We start from the raw sequence: 25,692 nt of genomic DNA, 5'->3' as shown, positions 1-25,692 counted from the left end.
CAGAACTAAAGCTCCCAGAATCCAATTGGATGCTGGGTTGCAGGGTGGTTAGAGCTATAGGCAGTGAGCTGAGGCAGGAATCAGATGGCTTTACCCATGGAGATTTTTGTTGCTGGCTAATTTGCTACATATTCTTAGAACTGGTTTGATTAAGAAAAAAAGCTGTTGGTGTGGTGACTGGAAGTCTAACAACAATCACCACAATAGATATCTGCAGCCCTGAAACCAATTTTCAGGCTTGAATTTCTTTTACTTTTCTTCTTTCTTTCTTATTGTGTGTCTCCAAGTCCTGAGTCTACTGGGGTTATGTAGAAAAAAAGTTTTAAACATTTTTTTGGGAAATAATTGCAAAGTTACAGCTAAATTATAAGAAAAAAAGAAGAGTTCTACACTTTGGGAGGCCGAGGCGGGTGGATCATGAGGTCAGGAGATCGAGACCATCCTGGCTAACAAGGTGAAACCCCGTCTCTACTAAAAATACAAAAAATTAGCCGGGCGCGGTGGCGGGCGCCTGTAGTCCCAGCTACTCGGGAGGCTGAGGCAGGAGAATGGCGTGAACCCGGGAAGCAGAGCTTGCAGTGAGCCGAGATTGCGCCACTGCAGTCCGCAGTCCGACCTGGGCGACAGAGCGAGACTCCGTCTCAAAAAAAAAAAAAAAAAAAAAAAAAAGAAGAGTTCTATACCTTTTTACCCAGGTTCTCAAATGTTTAACATTTTATCAGATTTGTTTTCTATATATACATATAATTATCAATATTTTTCCTTAAGCTTTGAGAATAAGTTGCATACAACATGGTCCTTTACTTCTCTAAGTACTTCAGAGTATATTCATTCACAAAGTAGATACTCCAGTACGTACAGAGTTTATCAACGTGAACAAATTTAACATTACTAAAGAAATTTTATTGAATCTTCTTTCTGCATGACAATTCTGTCAATTTACCCAGTAATGTCCTTTATAGCACTGTCTTCCCTGGAGTACTGGTCTACCATAAGACCGCATCTCATACAGTATGTTTCTGTAGTCTCCTTTAACATTTGAAATTTTCCAGCAAATTTTTGCCTTTTAGAATACTGATCTGTTTTTTAGAAATATACTTCAGGCCATTTGTAAACCCTATTTTCTCACCTGAAACTTCTCTCTCTAGATCTTACCTATGTTCAAACTTTGAAGGGTATTTTTAGATCTAAGAGATCTGGGTCTTTAAAGTCAGTCTTGGCCAGAATCAGGCTGCAAATGCCAAAGCAAGAGATGTCAGCAATGAGTTGCAGGTCTTTGCCAAACAGAGCATCATCTGGCAGTGAAAGGAGAGCAGAAGAGGGGATTTTGAAGTGTAAGTCCTTTGATGGGGACGGATTATGAACAAGCTGTCTTGCCAGAGAAAACAAACAAAAAGGGAGGTTACAACTCTTGTGAGGTTTCATCATATGGGAGGAAAAAGTTTTGGCTGTGGTTGATTTATTAGAATTATCATGAGACTTGAGGAGATTAATGAGGAAATGATACGATGCTTGCTTCCACCAGGGTGGGATCTTAATAATGTAGTAGTGAGCATCACAACTCTGTGAAACAGTGGGATGCTCACTCTTTTTAAAAGTACCATTGCTGGTATTCCATGGTGTAAATACTCCACCACTCTATCATTTCAATATACCAACATGACAGCACTGCTACAGAGCACTGAGAAGATCTGCACAGTGGCTTTCAGGAGCCGGCATACCAATGAATGGCAATGCTTTTTAAGCTGAGCTAATTGAATCTATTAATATGAGGATATAAAATATGGGAGCAGTCAGGCGCGGTGGCTCATGCCTGTAATCCCAGCACTTTGGGAGGCCGAGGCGGGCAGACGACCTGAGGTCAGGAGTTCGAGACCAGCCTGGCCAACATGATGAAACCCTGTCTCTACTGAAAATACAAAAATTAGCCAGGCGTAGTGGTGGGCACCTGTAATTCCAGCTACTTGGGAGGCTGAGGCAGGGAGAATCACTTGAGCCTGGGAGGCGGAGGTTGCAGTGAACTGAGATCGCGCCACTACACTCCAGCCTTGGCAATACAGAGCAAGACTCCATCTCAAAAATAAATAAATAAATAAAATACGGGAGCGTGTGTGTGTGTGGCATATGTATGTGTGTGCGCATATGTATGTGTATGTGTGTATATATGTACACTCACATACATACACATCATAAAACAACCCTTCATGGGGAAACAACCACTGGTGTGATTCAAAACAAAACAAAAAGAGAGTGCTTTACATCACTGCAATTTCTCTCTTAAGTTATACCAAATAGAAGGCCTCCTATCTGTACTTCACATCTAGATGGCTTTAGAATGTGCAGGTAGGAACAGCAGGGACTCCTGGGAGCTGGCTTGCTCTGTATAAAAATGGGAAAATATTTTAGATTGTTGGGAGAGAGGGAGGGACCCTGGGCAAGGGGAGGAGGATGCTGGCAGGTTGGGACTACATGGGTACAAGTGAGAGGCTGACAGCCCTCAAGGGCCAAGCAGTGCAAAAGGGACTTTCAAAGGAAATTATCACTAAGAGACAGTTTTAAATTTGGGGACACGGGGTGTGCTCACCGCTCCCTCCTCCTCAGTCGCTCTAATAAAGGCCACTTTGCTCACTGATGCTTCTCTGTAGATGCAGATTTGGGGGGAAATTGTGGAAGTAAACTGGGTGGCTGGGTTCAGCTTTGTCAGAACTCAGAAATAGCCCAAGGAGCTTCAACAGAGTGAAAGCTGAAGCAGCACAAAAGCAGCTTAAAAACAACAAGGCAGCTTTGCTGTGTGTTTCCTTGCCCTCGCCCCACTCTCTCCCTGCTTGGTGATGGTCTTGAAGAAGGTGGCCAGGTTCCCAGGATGGGAACCTGGTCCTTGGTTCCCAAGGGAGCAGAGAAGAATTCTCAAAGAATTGTGTATGTTTGTTCTAACCTGTCTGGGGGTTACCTGAAGGACTGACACAAGGCCATTGCCTTTGTTTTACCTAACTCAGAACTCATTCGGGGCAGAAAAGCTGCAGCAATGGTGTAGTCAAGATGTGGGAGGATGCAAACTTTGCCAGCGTCCTGTCCTGGGAGTGCTCCTGGCTGTAGTCAGTACCGCCTGTCTCCTGCAGCCATCTGGGGAAGTTCCCATTGAAAGTAGCCTTGTGCAAACTCCATCAAGATCTCTGCAGACAGGGGTGCCACAGAACAGCTGGGGGAGCAGGACATCCTGTCATGAGAGCTGGTGGAGGAAGCTACTCCCTCTGTGTCCCCCTGGGATGCCGCAGCTTCCCTGCTAGAGTCCTTGCTAACCTTGGCCTTTTCATCTCTTGGTGTCCACCTGCCCACATGACCCAGCCACCTCATCACTGTCCTTTCTTTCCCTTCACCACAGGGTGTCTTTGTGCCACTGGCCCTCAATCTCTTAATGGTCTGGTTCTCACATCAAGGTAGTGATGTTTTCTTTTTAACTCCAAGGCACACTCAGACACTGTATTCTATTACCCATCCAAACCTCTTTTGGTCTCTGACCCAAGCTCCCCATGTGACCCACTCTCTGTCAGAATTTCAATCTTTCACCTAATTTAACTCATCCCAGGAATCACACTGATCCACTGGACTGAGATTTGCACCTACCACCCTCTCTGCTCCTCCTTGGGCAAACTCTGCTTTAACTCTGACTCATGGGACTCAGTTGCAATCTTTTTTTTTTTTTTTTTTTTTTTGAGAAGGAGTCTCACTCTGTCACCAGGAGGGAGTGCAGTGGCATGATCTCAGCTCATTGCAACCTCTGCCTCCTGGGTTCAAGTGATTCTCCTGTCTCAGCCTCCTGTGTAGCTGGGACTACAGGTGTGCACTACCACCTCCACCACATCCAGCTAATTTTTTTTTGTATTTTTAATAGAGGCGGGGTTTCTCCATGTTGGCCAGGATGGTCTCAATCTCGTGATCCACCCGCTGTGCTCTGTCCTGAGTGCTGCTCTCCAGTGACCTCCGGCTGGGTGTTCCCTTCCTCCCTGAAGTCTCAGGCAAAAAGCACCCAGCTTACCCCTTCCCCTGACATAGATGTGTTCCATCCCCTTCTCCCTCTCCATTCTCTTGCAAGAGCTCATTTCTAGCCACCTGCCAGAAGCCTTCTCTGGGAGGTCCTGCAAGCAGGCATGTGGAAGCTGCTAGACTCCCCCTCTGTGATGCCCAGGAGCACCTGGGGAGACGTTATCCAGAAAGGGGATGTCTGGATTTGGGAGGACACATAAAGTGGGGATCATTTCCAAAACTCCTGAGGTCAGGCTACCAAATGAAGACTGGAAACACCTGAGATTCAGTTGTTGGCAAGCAGGACACCACAGGTGTCCAAACTTTCAGGAGCAAAGAAGACAATGAAAGCAGCAGCGCAGGCCATAGTGGCCTCTGCATCCCACAACCATGGGGCACCCTGAGCGGCAGGTGTGGGGCCAGCTGTTCAGGGTGTCCTCTGCCTGCACAGTGAGACTCAGGGCTGATTCTCCCCATCTCTGGTAGCTCTTCCCCACTAGGGTCCCCTCTGTCTTAGGTGGGACAGCTCATGTACCCTCAGTCCTAAAGCAGGCTAAGTGGTCCCCACCCACTCCTTCCTCTCCCCAGAGCCTTCCCCACCCCACAGCTGTGCCACAGCTCTGGGCTGAAGCCCTGCCAGTTACCACCCCACATCCGGCCCTGGTACAACCTCAGGCCCCACTTCCACCCCAATCCTGCCTTGTGCATTGCAGATTAGAGCCTGCACTAGTTTTCAATGCAGAGGTCCTACACATATTTTATGTTTATTACTAGGTATTCAATGTTTTTGATAATGTTTTTAAATTTTATTTTCTACTTATTTATTGCTAATATGTAGAAATAAAACAGTTTTATTCATTCAATGTGTGTTCTATAATATTGCTACATCCAGTATTAGTTCTAATAATTTTAGATTCCACAAGAGTTTCTAGCTACAAAATTATGTCATCTGCAGATAGTTTTCCTTTCCTTTCAAATCTTCATCCTTTTCATTTTAGTTTTTGCACTTGGTAGGCCTTCTAATACAATGTTGAATAGAAATGGTGAGAAAAAAACATCCTTTTCTTCAATCTTAGAAGAAAGCATTCAATCTTTCATCGTTATGATACTTACCATAGGACTTCCATGGGTGCCGTTTAACAGGTTGATTAAGTTTCCTTCTATTCCTAGTTTGCTGACAATTTTTATGAGAAATGAGTTGTGTGTTTCGTCAAATGCTTTTTCTACATATAGTGATTATATAATTCTCTTCTTTTAACCTGTTAGTGTGGTGGATTACATTAATTGATTTTCATACGTTAAATCAACCTTGCATTCTTGGACTAAAACCAATTCGTTCATAAAGTATTGTACTTTTATTATACTATTGTAAGATTTGCTTTGCTAATTTTATGTAATATTATGTTAAAGATTGTTCTTTAATTCCAATAAGACATTAAATTCTTATTCTATGAAAAGTGTCTTCAATTGAGAATTATCATTGTAAAAGAGAAATTTTGTATTTATTGACAGTAAAAGTACTCAAAATAGGTATGAGGCAGAAATCAGGCAATTATTGTCCTTCTGATATTATGATTGTTATTCACCTAATGGCTACCAGACATATTTAACGACACTTTAAGAGTTAAATGTGTTCACTTTGAGAGCTTACTGAGCAACAGCATAGTCATAAATACAAGCACAAATTAGATCCCTGAGGTTGAGAGGAGAGTATCCTGTTATAAGGGGATTATTCAGAGAATTAAAAGATAAATATATTAAATTTGTAAATCCTCATTTAAATAAAAATATAGTATTTTAGATTTCTCATAGAGAACTCTTGGTTCTTTGAGAAGATGTTTGTGGTTGAATCCCCCAAGAATCTATAGAACCCAGTTTGAGAAAAGACAACTTAGAAGAATGTAAGACTTCAAGGAAAGTGCTTAACAAATAAAGATTTAAGTGAAGAAAAATAGTATAGCATATATGAATGTTTGGTTGGCTAATTAACTTATTAACCTATTATTATGGCAAAAGACCATTGAGATTTTGTTAAATAGGCTTTCTTATCTGAAACATAAATTCCAATCAAAGGAATTTGTGGCTATTTATTCCTGCATTGTCCTTAATAGGACACAGTGTTATTGATAGGAAACAGTGTTATTCTCTTTAAGATGATAAGAAAAGTCAGGGTCAACATTTAAAAAGAGAGGACAGAAGATGAGAAGACAGAAAAGAAGAAAAGAAGACAGGGAGAGGAGGGGAAAGGGAGGAGAGGGAGGGAAGAGGAAGTGAAAAGGGGACAGAGGGGAGAGGTAGGGGGGAAGAAGGAGAGGGGAGGGAAGAGGGGAGAAGGGAGGGAAAGGATGGGGAGGGGAGGGATTGGGAGGAAAGAGGAGAAGAGAGGAGAGGAGAGGAGCAGAGAGGAGAGGAGTGGCTAGACAGGTAGCTATAGTTTGTATGGGAAACAAAAGGATTGAGAAGACATTCTAGACTTTGAGGCTTGTGGAAAGAGAGATGAGGGAAACCAAAGCTTTCAAGGCAGAAAAGCAGACAAAGATATAAAGAATACTCTTCCATATTTTCAGACAACTAGTCTTTGATGCAATATTTCATGCCTTGCTTACATTTCAGTTGGTAAAAACCGTATATATATTTACCCTCAACACTAGTGAAGAATATGTTGTTTTCTTAATAACTTGCTCTAGTGCAATTGCCCTACCATCTTAACATTATTCTGTATTCATCTGACTGTACTACTTGAAAAGAATACACAATCAGAATCAAGCATTAAGAAGTACTGCAAATTGACATATTTCATAGACTATATGTAAATTGAAATTCCCTAAGATCACCTGCTTGTTTTCCCAAAAAGTCATTTCAATGGCAATCCCCAAAGTCTAGGAAATTACTCAGTCTCAAAGAATTCAGCCACTACTTCTGTGTCTCTTAAATAGTCCCTGAATTTGGGATCTTGAGGATCAGGGAGTGTCACACACATAACCAGAATTTCTGCAGGTGTCTTTAACTTGCTGATTTGTAGCTCTTCATGCAAGCTGGACATACTGGAAATATCTACTTCAGTTATGACTTGCTTTCATTTTCTCTTTGGTGTATTTACATGAAGAGAAATTCTTAACTTCTATAAATTAGAACTTACCAATTACTGTTTGCATGTTTTACATTTGTTTAAGAAAGCCCAGCTTTGCACTTATAATAGTCTATAATTATCCCTACAAATCCAACACTCTCATTTCTCAGATGTCCAGGTTACATTGGTCTGTTCCTATTAGCGATGTATTCTGCTCCATTGGTCAATGTCTCCATCTCTCACAGTACAACAAAATATTGAGTATTATAGCTTTATAACAACTCTTATTATCTAGTAAGGCAATCCCTCTCCCATTTTATTTTTGTTTAAGGAAAATTTTGACCGTTCTTGGCATTTATTTCTGCTATGTAAATTTTAGAATCATCTCGTCAAGTTCCTCAAAAATATTCTATCAAGATTTTGAGTGGAAGTTCTTGAATGTCCTGTGGATTGCTTAGAGCAAATTATCATCTTTAACAGTCTGAGTCTAATGAATACGAAATGTCTCACAATTTATTTAGATCTTCTATAATATCTTTCAAGACATATTTTTAATTTTTTCTGTAGAGGTTATGTAACTTTGATTCCAATGTACCCTTTTTAAGAAAAATCAGTATTGCTTATTTCTTTTGGTTAATTGGCTTAGAATAATTTGTCCATCCTTTTATATAAAACTTTCTGTGCCCTTAAGTGTTATGCTTGTCTAATACAAATAGCATGTGTCAAGATTTTCTTTTTTTTAATCTGACAATTTGTTTTCTAACCAGCTAGTTTAGTATATCTAAATTAATTGTGGTTAATAATATATTTAGACTTGCCTACTCTTTTATCCTTGCTATGTGTCCCTTTGCTTCAAGAAATTTCTTTTTTCTTGCTTTCTTGCCTTTCTTTTTTAACTTTAAAAAAACTTTCTTATTTTATTGATTCATAATAGATGCAATTTGAGATTACATGTGATAATTTAATACATTCATATAATTTGTGAAGATAAAATTAGTGTACTTGAGATATTCATCACCTTAAATATTTCTCTTGTCTTTATGGCTAGAAACATTAGAATTATTCTTTTCCAGCTATTTTGAAATTTGTAATAGATTATTATAAATCATGGTCACCCTACTGATCTATCAGACACTAGGTCTTGCCTCTCTTTTTAATTTAACTGTTGTTTTGTTCGTTATTTCATTTCTACATACCCAGAGTCTGAAAAGTTATATATGCTATTTTAATTTTAGTTACTGATCTTAACTTGTTACCATGTATGCTTTTAAAAAGTTAGTATCTTAACCTTCCCTCAAAAACAGTATGAGAAATGTAATGCCTTCAACTCTTCCCTCCTGGTGTGCATATCATTATTTGTATCATTTTCGTCATTTTCAACCCTGCTAATTAGACAACACTATGATTACTCCATATGACATGGCTTAATTTTATTTAGCTACATGTTTATCTGTTTCTATGCCTTCTTGATCCTACATGTGAGAATTTCCTTCTGATGTTATTTTTTTCTTCTTTCTTAAGTATAACTTTTAGAAGTTGCTTTACATAAAAACTTCTAGTTTTTGAGCGCCTAAAATGAAATCTTAACTTTACATTTATTCTAAAATGTATTTTTCCTGAGTGCCCAGTTTGTTGCTGACAGTTAGGTTTTGTCTTCTAATCTCCATTGTTGCTATTGAGATGTTAATTGTCATGTAGCTTTTGTAATTTGCTGGATTATCTATATTTTCTCACTGGCTGCTTTTAACCTCTTTGTCTTTGATATTTTACAGTTTCTCTACAATGAATCTGGGTCTAGATTTCTTTTCACTTATATCTGTGAGTTCATGTCTTTAATCATTTCTGGAAAAAATGCTCCTCAAATATTGCCTCTCCTCCTTTCTCTCCTTATATAATTCTGATTAGATGTATGGTGAAACTTACAGTTCCGTCCTCTATACCCATTGGCCTCTTTTCATGTTATACATTTTCTTGTCCCTTTGTATTGTCTGATTTCTTCTGATCTAGCTTCCAGTTCACTAATTTTTTTTTCAGTGTGCTAATCTGTTGTTTACATAAGTCCTTGAGGATTTCTTTTTACTTTGACAATACATTTTTGTTTCAAAACCTAGTACATAGTTCCTTTTAATATCTGCACTGTGTTCTTATTGCTTGTTTAAATTTGTGATTACTTCTTTTATTTATTAACATCTAATAAGAGTCATTTTAATACTCCACACTGAAATATTTAATATCAGAAGAATCTGCTTTTTCTCCAAATTTTTACCCTTGGGGGCCTATTTTGGTGGATGACCTTTGGTTGTGAGTTTATATGTGCTTGGTTGACATTATTCTGTGGTTTTGCCTTTGTGTCTGCTGGGAACCAGAGGGACTTCCTATCTTGAACTACTTCCCTATTCAGGGTTTCTGGTTTTATACACGCAACTATGGGTCAGATTTACTTATTTACCATTAGCCTGAGGCTTAATTCGCATGGTATGATACTAATGTTGGTTTTGCCCTTGGGAAAATCCAACTTTTATTTGCTTGCCCTTCACTGCTCTACTTTCAGCACACAGATTCTTGCCTTTCTTTATTATAGATGTTTAGAGGTTTCTCTTATGTCCTGGAAGACCAGCACTAAATCCAAAAGTCTATTTAATGCAGAATCCAGCTGACTTCTAGCAGAAAGGCTCGTGAGGGTACTTGCTTCACCACACTTGTTTTGAAGCCTGGAAACCCTCTACCTCTTCAGCCCATGGATACCATTACCAATAGGCTGTTTGGCCCACACCTATAAAAGCTTCAACTCCAAGCTCCAGGAGCACCTTATTTTAATGTTCTGACTCCCAAAGTTCCACAAAATGTCTTTAGTTCTCATTTATTTTTTATTCTCTTATTTTCTATTCTTATGACACATCCATAATTAAGGCTCCTATTGAAAGAGTCCAGTCTATACTGTCCAGCACTCTCTGTAAAGAAAACAGATTCCCACTGAACGTCTTGGGCTTCCAGTGCCACAATTATTTAATTTCCACCTACAAAACTCTCTTTTTAGCAGTGTTTAGGCAGTCTAGTAGGAAATAATGCAGACTAAATTCAGTCACAGCCTGACTCTCTACCCAAAATCATTATCCCTTTTGAAAAGTGGGTCTTATTTCTGAGTCAGCCCTAGTAGACTCAATCCCTTCTGCACTTTCAGAGATTTTCTGCCAGTCACTCTCTGAAATCTGACTTCCATCATGACTTTTCTCATCCACTAGTTTGTATAAATCCCAATTATGATGATGTCCAAGGTCTTTTTCTTGAGTATATTTACTCCTGATAAAATCAGTGAGTGTGACTTTTTAATTAACAGTTAATGATATTATTTACTGGTCCAATCACACAAAGGATCTTAAGGAGGCTAATAATTATTCCATAAATAAGTGAATCTAAGTTTGGTTATTATATTCACTCCCAAAAGTGGCATTGAATCTGGGCAATACATTGCCATATTATGAGTACTTTTAAGCTAAGTTGATTATTGGGAAATGTATCAACCTAAGAGTAGTAATGAGATTTAATAGCATATTTATTTTTCTCTTTTAAGACATTTTTAGATACCATAGTTAACTAAGGTTTAGATTAAAATATCAAATTCTTCAGAATCAGAGAAATTGTGTATAGATAAATTTTCTAAAATGAAAAATTAATCTTTGAAATTGTATTTAGCAATTTTTTTGATATTTGTTTTGTTTCGTTGTTTAAGACAGTGTATCACTGTGTTACTCAGGCTGGAGGGCAGTGCATGCTCATGGTTCACTGTAGCCTTGACCTCCTAGTCTTAAGAGATCCTCCTACCTCAGATTCCCAAGTAGCTGGAACTACAGGCATGCACCACCATGCATGGCTAGTTTTAATATAAACATTTCTGTAGAGACGAGGTCTCATCATATTTCCTAGGCTGAGCATCTTCCTTTTATAGTCAGAAAAGTTTTAGGAGTATTTCTATTAGGTCTTTAGGTACAATTGTGTTCTTTGAACCCAATATGAGGAATTGGCATGAATTACATGAAGTGAATTAGCCAGTGAGACTAGTATACACATTGCCTGCCTGGATATATTTGTGAAATACTCAAGGTGTCTAGATTTAAAAGTGGCATGCATCATGGATACCCATCTATCTATTCATTATTTATGTAATTTCTTTTTGACATATTTCAGCAGAATGTTTTTCCTCCTTAAAGATATGTTAAAAAGCTTATATAGAGCTCAGACTATTTTGACATGGCACACTTTACTTCTCCTTAGCTAGATTATATAATTAAAGTAAGGAATGTATATGCAAAATAGCAAAACAGGTAAACAGTGAAAATAATTTTCCCTCTCATCTTACTACTTAAAGTTTTTATGTATATTTTCTGGAATTTTCTATGTAAATTATTGTGTCCTGTGTTACCTTTTTCTACAACTTTCGTTATTTCTCTTAACAATATATCTTAGAGAAAATTATATTTCAGCATGTCAGAACTTAGGGAGGTACCTCATTTTAAAAATGGCTGTAAGGTGATCCATTATATGAATGCACTATAATTATTCTAGTCAGTTTCCTATTAATGGGTCTTTTAAAATGTTTCCAGACCATTACTAATAACAATGGACACATATCTTTGCTTATGTGTTAGACACATCCATAGGAGAGAGTCCTTGAGATGGAATTGTCGGGTCAAATAGTATATACATTGAAAAATGTGAAAGATATTTCTAAATTGTGCTTCAAGTGGCTATCCCAATGTGCATTCCTGTTAAAATTGCCTGAAAATTTTCATTTCTCCACATCTTCAGCAATGATTTTTGTGATTAATATAAAAGTTAAAATGATATTTCATAGTTATTTTAATTTTAATATAAAATATGAATGCTACTGAGCATGTATTCATATGGTCTAAGCTATTTATATTTTCTTTTTTGTCAAACTATTTATTCATATCATTTCCCTATTCTCTATGGATATATTTACTCTTTCCTTTATGATTTATAATAGCACTTTAAATGATAGTTTAATTCTAAACACAATCATATGTACTGCCAATATTTTTTCTTCTTTTCTTTTTTTTCTTTTTGACATTAGGATAGTTGGCCCTAATAAATGTGAAGGTATTGAGATTTGTCAGCTTTCCCCTTGGGTCAGTGTTTAATTTTCTTTTATCAAAAGACACAATACTATTTTTGGAGGAATAAATGATTAGATTGTTTCATACAATTATAGACATAGAACAAAGTTTTAGTTGCCTTTCATTTAAGGAGAAGTCCATTTTAGAAGAAAACACAAATAACTTGGAAACATGATTGAACGAATGCTCAATTTCACCCATAATTAAATACTAAAATTTAAAATTTTTCATTAAAAAATTTAGATCATCATGATTTTCATCAATAGCATGTAAGAAAACCTTAGTTCTTATTTTTGAGAGTATTAATATAAGATTCTACAATAAGAATTTTGTTTCTACTGGTTTTCTTCTAGATTGAGAAGTAGCAGTTGCCCTGGTACAGGGCAGAGGTTAAGTAACACAGAGGGCCTCTCATCTAAGAAGCCCTACAGGTTCCACTTTGCTCGGCTATGGGGACCTAGTGAATTCATTAGGGCCTGGAATACACTATGTCATGAGGCAGCCTCTCTTATAGCGCACTTTAAAGTTTAACTTGCCCTTTGTATCTTAACAACCTGTCTTACAGCTTCCTGCACACTTCCGACAACTTGATTGAACTGGACGCCCTTGGAAGTTCATGGCATCGCCTATAACAGAGTCTGTGTAGGCAAAACCCCAGCCTATGCTGGAATTTAACTCTTAAAAAGCAACCTAAGTAGAACACAAGATTGTAAACTCTAAGGAGATTCTAACACCAAAAGAAAGTATGACTTGAGCCAATGAAATGCCAAAATCCAGTTCTAGCTGACAACGTCAGTAGTGGAGGACAGACTTCCACTTGCCATTTGAGGAAAAAGCATGTGGATTCATGAGCATAACAGCAGATACCCCACTACCAATTACCAAATCCTGTGCACATTCCTGTTCTCCAGTCACCTTTTCTCCATAAATGTTTGTGGTATAAAATGAAAACCTTCCCAAATATTAACCAGTCAACCTTTATTCTCTGATTTCTTTCTCTAAACTAGTGATGCCTTCATTTTCAGTGTCACTGACTTGCACCTAACAGTTCCCAGCTTATGTTGTAGGTGCTATCTCATCTTAAACTGATCCTGTTCTCGAGTTTCCAGAGCGAGTACAGCCCTGCCACCTCTGGAGTTCAGCCCAGTGAAAGTGCTTTCAGACTTCTGACCTCCAGAACTGTAAGAGTATACATGTATTTTGTTTCACGCCACCAAGTTTGTGCTAATTTGTTATAGCGGCCATAGGAGACTAATGCATACTTAACAGGAACTGTTACTCCAGGGAAAACATGTGACTGCAGACACAGTGGAGAGCCTAACACACAACTGTTAACCCTGTTCTGGGGAGCTGAAGCTTTGGTTTTAAGGGATTTCTGAAACCAGTACAATGACTGTCACTTTTCCCAATGTTCATCCGGGGAATAAATGCCTAGACACCTGGCAGCAAGAGGTCTTTCCTTCCCCAGAGACCCTCTCTTCTCCTATTACTTAAAGGGAAAATGTTACTGCTCATCACTGAAGTCACATTATTCTTTTCCTTTCTACCCTGTTTCCAATACATTTCATCCAACCTGCCTTTCTGAACTTTAAGGAGAATAGAGTCTTGTCTCAGAGGACTTAGGTGCCACCGCAAGTTAATATTCAAGCCATATCTCAGGCCCTCTCCCAGGACTCATCCCTGAGAACTTCTGAACTTAAATTCTCCCCAGGTTCCAACATCACTCACTTTCTCATTTCCCTCTTCTGTCTTTAGTTCAGATTCTTGTCAATTTAGTCCTTTCCTTACACATGGTTTATAATGAGGTGGTACAGCCAAGTGACAAAAGTTCAGATGGTCTGGTTATAAATCTGGGTTTTTGCAATCTACTAACTGTGTGACATTGAACAAGGTATTTAACCTCTCTGGGCCTCAGCGTCCTTAAAAAAATAAACAAGTAGAATTATAAATGATACCTATCAATAGAGTTATTATGAAGATTAAATGAATCAGAATTTGCTAATGACTTACAATAGTGCTTGGCATAGAGTAAGCACTATTTGTTAATAATAAATGCAAATCCGAAGCTCATCACTTACTCCACTTTCTGTCATAAGTATTGATGTCCATCAAGGTTAGGCTCACAAATATCTCAGCATTTTCAAGGCTTACATTTTCTGTGCATATATGAGATATATATTTCGTGAAATCATCAAACTTCAAGGGAAATCAGAAGAAATACTTTTAGTGATTGTCCCTGTGGCTAACTTGGGCATTTCACTAGTCAGTGCTTCTAGCCTAGGCTAGTCCAATGGCAAGTTAGAAATTGACCTAGTATGTGTTTTGAACCCTTATCTTCAATGCAGTCTCCCCACAAAGCCCTATATTTTTACTCATAAGTGTTCATATTTCCCTCCATCCTGTGAGACCTACTTCCAGGAAAGCCTCTGATATTAGTCATTAACAAAAAAATAAGAGCTTAAAGAAAAGGTGCTATTTACCTAAGACAAACCATTTTTTAGCAGAGATTCTGTTTGGTTTTGTTTTTCTGGTCCCTCCCATGCCCCGCTCCCTGCCTTCAATAAATCCAGGATCTAGATTGTGGCTCTAAGATTTAGCCGCTATTTGATCCTAGGATCCTCAGTTTTCCTATCCAGAAGGCATTCTTGAAGATGACACTCCTGTCCTGGGACTTCTGGGAGAGTCATTCCCAGCTCTGTCTCAGGAAAAGAATGAGCTGTTGTTCAGGAGGCCCTCACTGCATCACATTGCCTGGGGTCACAGTAGTGACTGCTTCAGGGAGGGCCTGGGAACGCTCCTTACAGCCAGGGGCAGTTTCTAGATCTCTAAAATGAAAATATTTAGAGCCAGAAAGACATGCATCCACATCTCTGAAATTCTAAAATTTCCCACATGCCACTTTCTAGTTCCTAAGAAGTAGATGTATACTCTGCTTATTAGTAACTACGGTTTTGTCCTCACTTCCTATATAAAATTATTTATCTGATGAGATGAATGGGCCCTTGGTGAGCCTTCGCCTAAGGCCTGAAGTAGCATTTGGAGGAATATGAAATGTGGACTGTCTGCATCATAGTTAGCCAGAGTGCTAGTTGAAGTCCAGATTCTTGGCTCTACCACAGATCTAGGAAGTTAGGATGACGAGGTCAGAATCAGATATTTTTTGTAATGAGTGATTAGTGAACACTTCTGGCCTAACCTAAAAGCAATATGAGTGGCTGCTTTGGCCCTCTTTCTTCTGAGACTATGTCCTTACTTTGGCCTTAAAGCTTCCAAATGGAGTTGGGGAGGCACAAGGTTTCTGGAAAAGGGAGTGATCCAGTCACATAAACAATATTGAGTCTGAAAATACGAAATACTCTCTCATGGCAAAGAATGCAAGGATTTAAAAGAGACAAGTCAAATGGTAGGAAAAGCAATGAAATCTATATGGAAAAATAATAGTTGAAGTAAAATGCAAAACAGAATATAACAACCATTGATGGAAAAGACATAAGTTGGGGCCCTCTACCTACAAAGAAGAAACTATAATCCTATCCCACTGTTTTCCCCAGGACTGACCAATACTTAAATTGACAAAGGTGAGTTGCGCAAGGGAAAAGGAAAGGCAGAGGAGTCATGAGAATACAGTTTTGAGCATAAAGTCCTAAGATTAGAGTAAACATTGATAAAACAAGAACTTAATAGAAAAAACTTGAGATTGTGTATTGGATGCTAAAGTCTACAAATGCATTGTTCCACTTAAGCATCATGAGCAGCCCATATGGTAGATATTTGCCTTTTCCCTGATTGACAGATAAGGAGACAGAGGCATAGGAAGGCTCTGTAAATTACTCAGGGTTGCAGAACTGGTAAGCTAAAGAGCAAGGATTCCAAACCAAGTGGTCTATTTCCAGAGCCAATGCTTTTAGCCACTATACTACCATTTTCTCTCACCAAAAAAGCTTACAAAACTACGTGAAGTTATAAAACGAAAGCAGCAAAATTAATAAAATGAATATGACACATGAGAAGAGATGGGGAATATGAGTGGAAGTGGGAGTTTATCGTCCTCCCTTATGTTAGGGTGGTAGAAATATTTTCTAAAATGGATATTTCACGACACAGCAGAATAAGCATAAAGTTTAGAAATACGGGGGTAACAACAAAGTGGCTAAAGCCTATCTTCGGAAAGGGGAACTGGAGTAGGAAGGGTTGAATTTCAGTATTATTCAAATTTATATTATGCTTGTTTGAATAAAAACAGAAGAATCTATTTGTTTAGAAATAGTTACAGCTGTGTAAGTGCATCAGAACATAAAAATCAAATTCATCTTTATATCTCTCACATATTTCTTTAAAGTTTGTCTTATCAGAATAATAATTGAAGGTCTTCTCTAAAATGTCAAAAAGTATGAGTTTTTAAAACTTGTCCCTGGTGATATTATTGCCAGGCATGGTAGAGACAGGGGGCAGGACTATTAAAAGCAAACAGATTTTGTCCCTGCTTCTGTAAGGCAGTTCTGACCACAAAGGGAAGGTGATTCTCTGTACCCATTGCACAGGAACTTTGACCCTCTGGAACTGTGCTAAGCAACTGAGAGTAAAGGAATCAGGCAGCAGGGCGCCAGGAGGAGTCCACTAGATGGTTTTGTTGTTACAGGGCTAATCTCATACATATTGCACTAGGCACAATGCTGTGCATTTTTAGCCCTATTTATCATATTTTTACAGGTGCTTACTTCATAAAAGTAAGCATTTTTATGCTCCCTTTAAAATAGGGTTCTTCTATTTGCATTGCCTAGTAAAGGCAAGCAGAAGACCACTGCTTAAGGAACTTACTCACAGAGCACACATATATAAGTATCTGCTCTCTATCTTCATTATGTATCTGTCTATCTATCTACCTATCAAGCTACCTAGCTACCTTCCTACCTACCTACCTGTTTATGTTAGTCAGCTTGGGCTGTGTATTAGTCAGAGTTCTCTAGAGGGACAGAACTAATAGGATAGAGATACAGACAGATAGATATAGATATAGATATAGATATAGATATAGATATAGATATAGATATAGATAAAGATATAGATATGAGTTTATTAAGGAGTATTAACTCACACAATCACAAGGTCCCACAATAGGCCGTCTATAAGCTGAGAAGCAAGGAAGCCAGTCTGAGTTCCAAAGCTGAAGAACTTGGAATCTAGTGTTCGCGGGCAGGAAGCATACAGCACGGAAGAAAGATGTAGGCTGGGAGGTTAAGCCAGTCTAGTCTTTTCATCTTTTTCTGCCTGCTTGATATTCTGTCAGTGCTGGCAGCTGATTAAATGGTGCCTACCCAGATTAAGGGTGGATCTGTCTTTCCCAGCCCACTGACTCAAATGTTAATCTCCTTTGGCAACACCTTGACAGACACACCCAGAATCAATAGTTTGCATCCTTCAATCCAATCAAGTTGACACTCAGTATTAACCATCACAGGCTCCTATAACAAAGTGACATAGACTGGTAGCTTCAACAACAGACATTTATTTTCTACAGTTCTGGAGCCTGGGAAGTCCAAGATGAAAGCAGATACTGTTTCTTGTGATGACCCTTTTCCTGGCTTAAAGGCGGTCACCTTCTTGCTATGTCCTCACGTGGCAGTGAGAAGAAGCTCAGGTGTTTCTTGCTCTTCTTATATAGGCACGAATCCCTTCATGGGGGTTCCATCCTCATGACTGCATCTAAAACTAGACCCCTCCCAAAGGCCCAGCCTCCTAATAACAGCACATTGGGGGTTAGGGTTCCAAAATATGAATTTTTGAGGGAATGCAAAATTTCAGTCTATACTTCTCTCATCTGTCTATCCATCCATCCATCCATCCATTTATCCACAGAACAATAACAACAATGGCTTCCAAGTTACTTCCTTATATTATTTCATGTTATCCTTTTAGAAATTTTCTCAGGTAAACAGTCCATAGCATAAGAACTGACTTCACTGAGACTCTTGAAGATTGACTCTACTGTTTGTACAACTAATAAATGGTGGTGCAAGGAATTCACCCCACATTTTCTCTGTCCTCCTCCCTTCCCTCTCTCCCTCCCTCCCTCCTACTGACTCCATTCCAGCCACATTGCCTCACTAGCTGCTCCCTGAGGACCTGAGAGGCGTCCTTCCCCTGAGCCTCTGCAGTGACTATTCCTATTATCTGGGATGCTCTTTGCTCAGATATCTGGCTCAGTTGCCTCTGAGGCTCACATTTCACTTTCCCAGTGAGGCTTGTCTTGTCCACAGTTTAAATGGAATCCCCTGCTTCTCTCTATCCACAATCTCAATCCCCCACGTACTTCTTTATTCTCCATAGCATTTCTTACTGGCTAACCTACCAGATAATCTCCATGTTTGCTGCTTCTTTTCTCCACTTCAACTAGAATGCAGAGTCCACAAAGTCAGGAATTTTTCCTTTCTTGTAATTGACACTACTACCTACAATAGTCCACAGCACATCCCAGTTGCTCAACAGATACTTTAAATTGACTGAGTAAATGAACTGCTTTCCAAATAGAATCTGGATTTTCCACCATCATCTCACACTATGAAAAGTAGAACTTAAATTTTTGCCAAAATCACTTATGTTTGTTCACTCAAGGCAGATGATGAGGATAGGCCGGGGCTCGTTGCTGTCACCCATTTCACTTCCCTCTTCTCTGACCTCCTCACTATCCCTGCTGTCAGGTTCTTTAGACCAGGAACTCATTTCTTCATCTTTCCTTGACTCACTGCAGTGTCACTAAGCTTCCTTGTCTCTGCCCTGGCATCATTTACTTCTTCTTTCTCACATAGTCACAGGGAGATTTCTACAATCTACATATAATCTTGTCATATCTTTGCTTACAATCCCTTCATGACTTCTCATGCTTTCAGAAAAATGAACAGGTGCCCCACTGTGGTGTTTAAGTTTGTTTTCTATCCACTCTTGTGGAACCCTGCAGGTGCACCTCCCACCTTTGGTTTCACTCTTCAAACACACCTGACTACCAGTCTAGTGTCCCACTGACTGGTCATCTACATTCTTTCTCTAGCCTTTTAATGCTATTGCTTTGACCCAGAAGTAGTCCTTATCCACTCAACTGTCCCCTTCTCCTTGAAGGTGCAGTTCATCCTTCATTTACCACAGAAGTAGTTAATGTTCTTCTTACCTGCTCCCATTATCTCAGCACCTACCTATCCAGTTAATTGTTTGGTCTGGTCATCTGTCCCCCAGAATACATTGTAAATTTTCTGGGGCAAGAGATGTCTTTCAACTCTGTATCTTCAGGGCCTAGCACAGAGTTTATTGTAAAGTCATCACTAGCAAATGGTGAATATGCTAGAAGCTGAGGGAAATGCTTGTACTTTTCTTCTTTCCCCACCTTGAGATGGTTCTCCTGGGTTGTGAAATACCTTAGAAAAGTTTGTATTTTTGGCATTTCAGTCTAGTGGAGACCTAGCAGAATGTGAAGGTCAGCCAGATCTGGGTGTAACTGTAACTCTTGTGATTTGATACCTTGGTGATTTAGACTAGAGCCAGAGCAGTTTTTAAAAAGAATCTTTTCTGATCATTTTAAGCAGCCTGATAAATTCTAAGTAAACATGAATTTTCAATAATTACAGAGTAGGCATGAGTGCTTCCTTTCTTGATGGCTCTATGTGCAAGAAGCTGGATGTTAAGCCCAACCTCTCTTGGTGAAGCGGGAATCTGTAAGGATGACGTGCCTAAGTCTAAATTAAACAAAAAGACACACACAAAAGACATTTAAACAATTTTTTAAAATGAAAATGAGAAAGTGCAGGTTCCTAACACACATCAGGAAATATATTGCTTCCAATGACATAGGAGAGAAGAACAGACAGAAAAGGCAAGGACGGGCCACCTGGTCTCGCCCTGGTCTGAACCTCATGTTTCACTATGTTGTCATCCCTGATGCTCAAACCTCACACAGAGGCTTCAGGACTCAGCCTGTGAAGTCAGAAAGGGTGGCTGCTTCCACATCCTATTCCCTGGCATACAGAAAGTTTTTCGTAAAGTCTGCCTCAACACATCATTCCTCAAACATGTAAATTCTTTCTCCACAGTTGAGTCAAAGAGCAAAGACACATGAGCAGAGGCACATCAGCAAGAGCAAGCTTTTAAGACACAATTGGGAAAGATAAGGGCTTATTGTGAAAAACGGGCAAGTGGAAAAGTAGCACCTGTAAATAACAGAGGATATCCTGCCAGTTCAAAGATTAGAGAACTGGCTGGGCACTTGGGACACCCAGGTTAACAGTCAAGCCAGAGAAAGCACAGCTGACACATGCTGGTTTCCTCTACCTTCCACAGGGGAGTGTCTCAAATACACTGTGGTTCTGACTGGGCTTATCAGCCTCCTCATGCCCTCCAACACACAAACACACACACACACACACACACACACACACACACACACACACACACACACACACACACCCATTGAGGTTTGGGGCCTCTGGCTTCTAAAGGGAGAGAGCAGCTTAAGTTTAATTTAAAGAGACTAAGCCCCTTTCTCCAGGGGCAAAGTTTGTTCATGGAGATTGCATGTGGAGGGGAACTTGCTTCTTATTTGTCCCCCATCACACCACAGGTGGACCTCAGGTGCTCTTTGTGAATGGAGAATTATAAGTGTGACCACTCACAGCATTTGTGCTGTTGTCCCCCATGACACCATCTAATCATTGTCCAGGTGGCCTTGGGAGCTTGGCTGCTGTGACGGCACATGAAGGCCTCTCATTATAGCTATGGTGGAATTCACTGTAGATGCACTACCTGTGTTTTGTCCAGGTGGACCGACCATGGACTGATGGAAAAAGGAACCACGAGGAGCTCCAACAATGGGAATGTGGTTGCCTCTTCCTAGTGCAACACCTGGGTTCTGGAGTGGTGCATGCCAGGTATTTGGCATGAAGGTGGAACAAGCAAGGATGGTGCTGGTGTTTGTAGCCACAACCAATGTGGTGTGAGCAGGTGAGCCCCAGGCTACCTGACCAAATGGGGGTACAGGCTGGTGCTGGTTGTTCCCCTCCATCCTGGTATAGTTTTCGGTGTTCTTGATGTGGAACTGCAGAGACATGCTAACCCCAATGTTTTCACCATGTTTAGGGGCTCCAGGTCTCATTATCCCCCCTGGGCCTAGAGTAGAATTGTCAACCGATGCAGTTACTGTCTCCAGTGCCAGGCATTCTGGTGGTATCTCTAAATGTAGATGACTTGGCTGTGCCAATGAGGGAAGCACTTGGTTTTTTAATCATACCTGGCTGCACATTGATAGGCAAATCAAATGCAAAATATGGTAATGTCACACTGGTGAGATCTGCTGCCATTGTGCTGTCACTGGGTGGCTGGCTGCAAGAACACCTTAGGCCTATAACTGGTGCTGGGGTTGCTGGGTTTCCCAGAATAAAAGAACGGTCTGACTTATCCTGCCCATGAGAAGCCCCAAATATGGGCTGGGAGGTGGATCATGGATTTACATCGTTGTGGGAAGTTGGGATCGGTCCCATGACTGACTGTGCAGGCAAATTGGTGAAGATGTGGGCTGAGACAATGTTGCCACTGGGTTCTGTGTTACCAAAACCATGAAACACCAGACAAGATAGGATGCACTTCTTCCTTGAGACAGCAGCAGACTGAAAGACAACAGCTTTTGAATAAGGAGTCGTATCCACAGTGCTGCTGCCAATGGTAGGAATGGATGATGATGATGCAGAGGTTCTACTCCCTAAACTGGAGGTGTCTAGAGGAGCCATCATGGGAAGGCTCAGAAAAACAGGGGTACTGGGGAGACAGGCTTTCCAATGCTGCCCATCAGAGGCCCCCAATGTGAGCTGAGCAGTGGCTCCCGGATGTATAACGTGATTAGAAGTTACAGTTGGTCCTACGACTGACTGTGCAGGCAAACTGGTGGAGATGTGAACTGAGGCAGTGTTTCTATTGAGTTGTTTGTTTGTAGAAGCAGAGAGCCCCAGATAAGACAGGATGCACTTCTTCCTTTAGACAGCAGCAGAGTGGAAGATGGCAGCTTTTGAAAAATGGGTGGTATCCACAGCCCTGCTGTCAATGGTAGGAAGGAAAGATGATGTTGCAGAGGTACTGCTTCCTAAACTGGAGGTGTCTGGGAAGTCTCAGAAAACCATTGAGGAGAGAGGCTTTCCACTGCTGCCCATCAGGGGCCCACAGTGTGAGCTGAGCAGTGGCTCCCTGATTTACAGTGTGGTTAGAAGTTACAGTTGGTCCTACCACTGACTGTGCAGGCAAACTGGTGGAGACATGAACTGAGACAATGTTGCCACTGGGATCTGTATTCCCAGAACCAAGGAGGCTCAGATGAGACAAGGATACACTTCTTCCGTGAGACAGAGGCAGACTGGAAGATGACAGCTTTTCAATAAGGGTGGTATCCACAGCACTGCTGTCAATGGTAGGAATGGATGATGATGCTGCAGAGGTTCTGCTCCCTAAACTGGAGGTGTCTGGATGAGCCATGATGATCCCATCATGGCTCAGAATAACAGGGGTACTGGGGAGACAGGCTTTCCACTGCTGCCCATTAGGGGCCCCCAATGTGAGTGGAGCCGTGGCTCCCAGATTTACAGTGTGGTTAGAAGTTGTCATTGGTCTCATGACTGGCTGTGCAGGCAAACTGGTGGAGATGTGGGCTGAGGCAATGCCCAAGTCAGGGGTGGGAGGAGGACCTGGGACCTGGGAAGTGTAGGTGGCCAGGCACAGGGAGTATGAAGTCTCTGCAGGTGGGGAGACAGCAGGTGCAGGCTGGGGGGTGCTGCAGTTTGCCTTGGCCAAATCAGGGACCCAAAATTTGGGCTGAGGGGTGGGGCTGGGGAATATAAATGTAGCTGGGTGATATAGGTTGAGTCTTACCAGGGGGCCCCTGCTGTGCACTGCCATCAATTTGGGAAACTAGTAGAGAGTTCATCCTGGAGCTTGAGGAAGTTCTGAACATCACAGCCTTAGGTGGGAAAGTGGTGTCCCTATTGAGGACCTGAGGATCTGAAGGAGGCTGCAAGGTGTGGTGGGCAGATGTGTTTGCTGTGATGGTGAAAATGACTGCTTTGAAATTTATCTGCTTGCTGGTGGTAACAGAGATCCTGGTGGAAGGTCCTGGAAGAAGGGCGGGAGAGGAAAGAGGAGGAAGGGAATGCACATACACAGCTGTAGGGAACTCCCTTCTGAAGGGAGGCCGGAAGGAGAAAGGTGTGGGGCTAGGTGTCAGGGGGTCAGAAGTGGGAGATGCTGAAGCTACTCCAGAATGAGAAGAACCTCCTTCCTCATTAGGTGGAACCCAAAATATGGGAACAAGGTCAGTGGGAAGAGACAATGGAGAGTTAGGGATTTTGGATATTCTTGGTGTGACAGACAGGCAGCGGGGTCTGGTAGCCGGCTCAGCCAAGTCAAGGGTGGAAGGAGGAGCTGGGACCTGCAAAGTGTAGGTGGCCAGGGACAGAGAGTCTGAAGTTTCCGCATGTGGGGAGATAGCAGGGGCAGGCTGGATGGTGCTGCAGTTTGCCTTGGCCTCTGTTTTGTGCTCCAAATTGTCCATTTTATCCTCCAAGATTTTGCTGTTCTGTTTACACCCCATGCTGTTCTCCAAGTTGCCCAGGTATCCCTCAATAGACAGGCAGGGAAGCTTAGCAGGTGGAGACAACTCACTTCTATCCCACATCAATCACAGGGTGGGGCCAGGAGCAGCAGCGGTGGAATCCACATTTTCCTTTCGCAGGGCCTGTTGCTGGCAGCTCTGAGTGGACAAGAGTTCCATGACAGAAGAGCTGAAGGCTTCTTGTCCTGCATCTTCTTCCCCGACATCAGCAAGCTTGGAGAGCTGGGTGGGTGGTCTTCATCCAGCACCTTCCTGGCCGCCTTCTCTGGCTGCAGGGAGCAGCCCGGGGCCGGGGCCGGGGCCGGGGCCAGGAGCACTGCTGGAGCCGGGTCAGGCTTCCCAAGGGGAAGGCCACCTCCAGCAGGGCTGTGTGAGCTGGGGGCCTCATGGCCCTCCCAGAAGGAGCCACTCACTGGAGACACCTGGGCCTTCTCTCTCAAATGGTTTTCCAACAGGTAGGGGTGGGCATTTCCCTGCAGAGGCCCGGGCCTGCACCCGAAGGAGGTGAGGTCTCCCTGGGTCTCCAGGGCCCTAGACGTGGATGAAGTCCTGCCGTGGCTACGGGGGCTCTTTTCTTGTCATCCTGCTCCTGGGTCTCTACGTGATGCTCCTGCGTCACTGTTCTGGGCTCCTCTTCGGCCCTACCCTCAGTCTCCTTCGGGAGCCTGGCTGGGACCTGCTTAGGTGGTGAAGGCAGCGGGAGGGCGAACTTGCGGACGGGAGGAGGGTCCTCAGGGACCCTGGGTGCAGCAACCTTCGGGAGTTCCCAACAGGTGGCTCAGAGGCCACAGCCTGCAGGAACTCCAGAGGGTCACCCTTGTCATGTGGGAGAGGACAAGGGGTGCCACACAAGCTGCCTGGAGAGGAGGGCCTAGGAGGCCGCCGCGGGTTGAACAGGAATAAGAAAGGGCCTGGCTGTCCTGGGCAGGCGCAGAGGCCTTTAGGGCAAGGGGCGGCCGCTGGCCCGAGAGCCTGCAGGCAGACCAGAGAAGAAACGTGTGAAGTAAATTGCCCATCTCCACCGAGGGACAGAAGCAAGGCAATGAACCTCCATCCGGCTACAGGAAAGAATGAGAAAACACCATGTCTCCACGATAAGGAGGCACACAGGCCAGAGCGTGAGCTGTGGAATCACACAGCCCGGGTTCACAGCCTGGCTGGGCCACTGCCACCTGAATGACCTGGAGAAGAGTCTCAGGCCCAAATGTTGTTTTAGCAATATCCAGTACAAAACGAAGGAGTGTTTTAGCAAATTTGTAAAAGGAAGTGAGCACAACTCGCTCGAGATGGGCAATTTACATGTATTTTCTCTGGGTACTTTGCACGGTGGCATATGTGTAATAAGCACATGCACTCCTAGGATGAGGCCTTTACCTCAACTCATAAGTTGACCATGGCCCACAGTGGGCTCCAGTCCTCTAAGAAAATGTAGGGCAGGGACCAGCAATTGTCCCACAGGGTCATGCCACATTTCTCTTCTAATGGAGCCTTGCAGCTCAGATGATCTTTTTGATCCTGTGTGAGGTATCTAAGTATATAAAGATTATGTTCTAGACCCATTATGGTCTATCCTGAAAGAAATTCACCAGCAGTTTATTTATTATGGATAAGAATCCATGTTCTCCAATGAGAACACTTGGACACAGGGTGGGGAACGTCAGAGGGTGGGGAACGTCACATGCCAGAGCCTGTCGGGGGCTGCGGGGCTGGGGGAGGGATAGCATTAAGTATCAGGGAACCTGCCCCAATAGTCACAAAGGTTCTTTTCTATTTTCCCTAAGCATCAGCCGGTTTGAGAAATAAGTACAAAAGAGAGAAATTTTAAAGCT

General features: G+C 41.8%; 2 long non-coding RNA genes and 1 pseudogene across 5 annotated transcripts in view; 1 reads left to right on the top strand and 2 right to left on the bottom strand.

The window, feature by feature from the left end:
• The window catches only part of LINC01507 (long intergenic non-protein coding RNA 1507), a 210,026-nt gene that overhangs the window by 146,657 nt on the left and 37,677 nt on the right, over positions 1 to 25,692 (bottom strand). The window lies entirely within an intron of this gene.
• LOC105376101 (uncharacterized) lies at positions 17 to 25,692 on the top strand. Of its 4 annotated transcripts, XR_929985.3 has the most exons (5): positions 17 to 454; positions 1,149 to 1,334; positions 12,794 to 13,409; positions 21,031 to 21,213; positions 23,984 to 25,692. It is a non-coding gene; the product is annotated as an uncharacterized LOC105376101 (long non-coding RNA). The 4 variants fall into 4 exon arrangements; XR_929986.3 differs by lacking the exon at positions 1,149 to 1,334; XR_001746762.1 differs by lacking the exon at positions 1,149 to 1,334 and having other exon boundaries at positions 426 to 454; positions 13,296 to 13,409.
• Positions 21,024 to 24,879, bottom strand: NPAP1P6 (nuclear pore associated protein 1 pseudogene 6; annotated as a pseudogene).

Source organism: Homo sapiens, chromosome 9, assembly GCF_000001405.40.
Source record: "Homo sapiens chromosome 9, GRCh38.p14 Primary Assembly".
NCBI classification, from domain to species: domain Eukaryota; kingdom Metazoa; phylum Chordata; class Mammalia; order Primates; family Hominidae; genus Homo; species Homo sapiens.
This window is presented reverse-complemented; position numbering and strand designations above follow the sequence as displayed.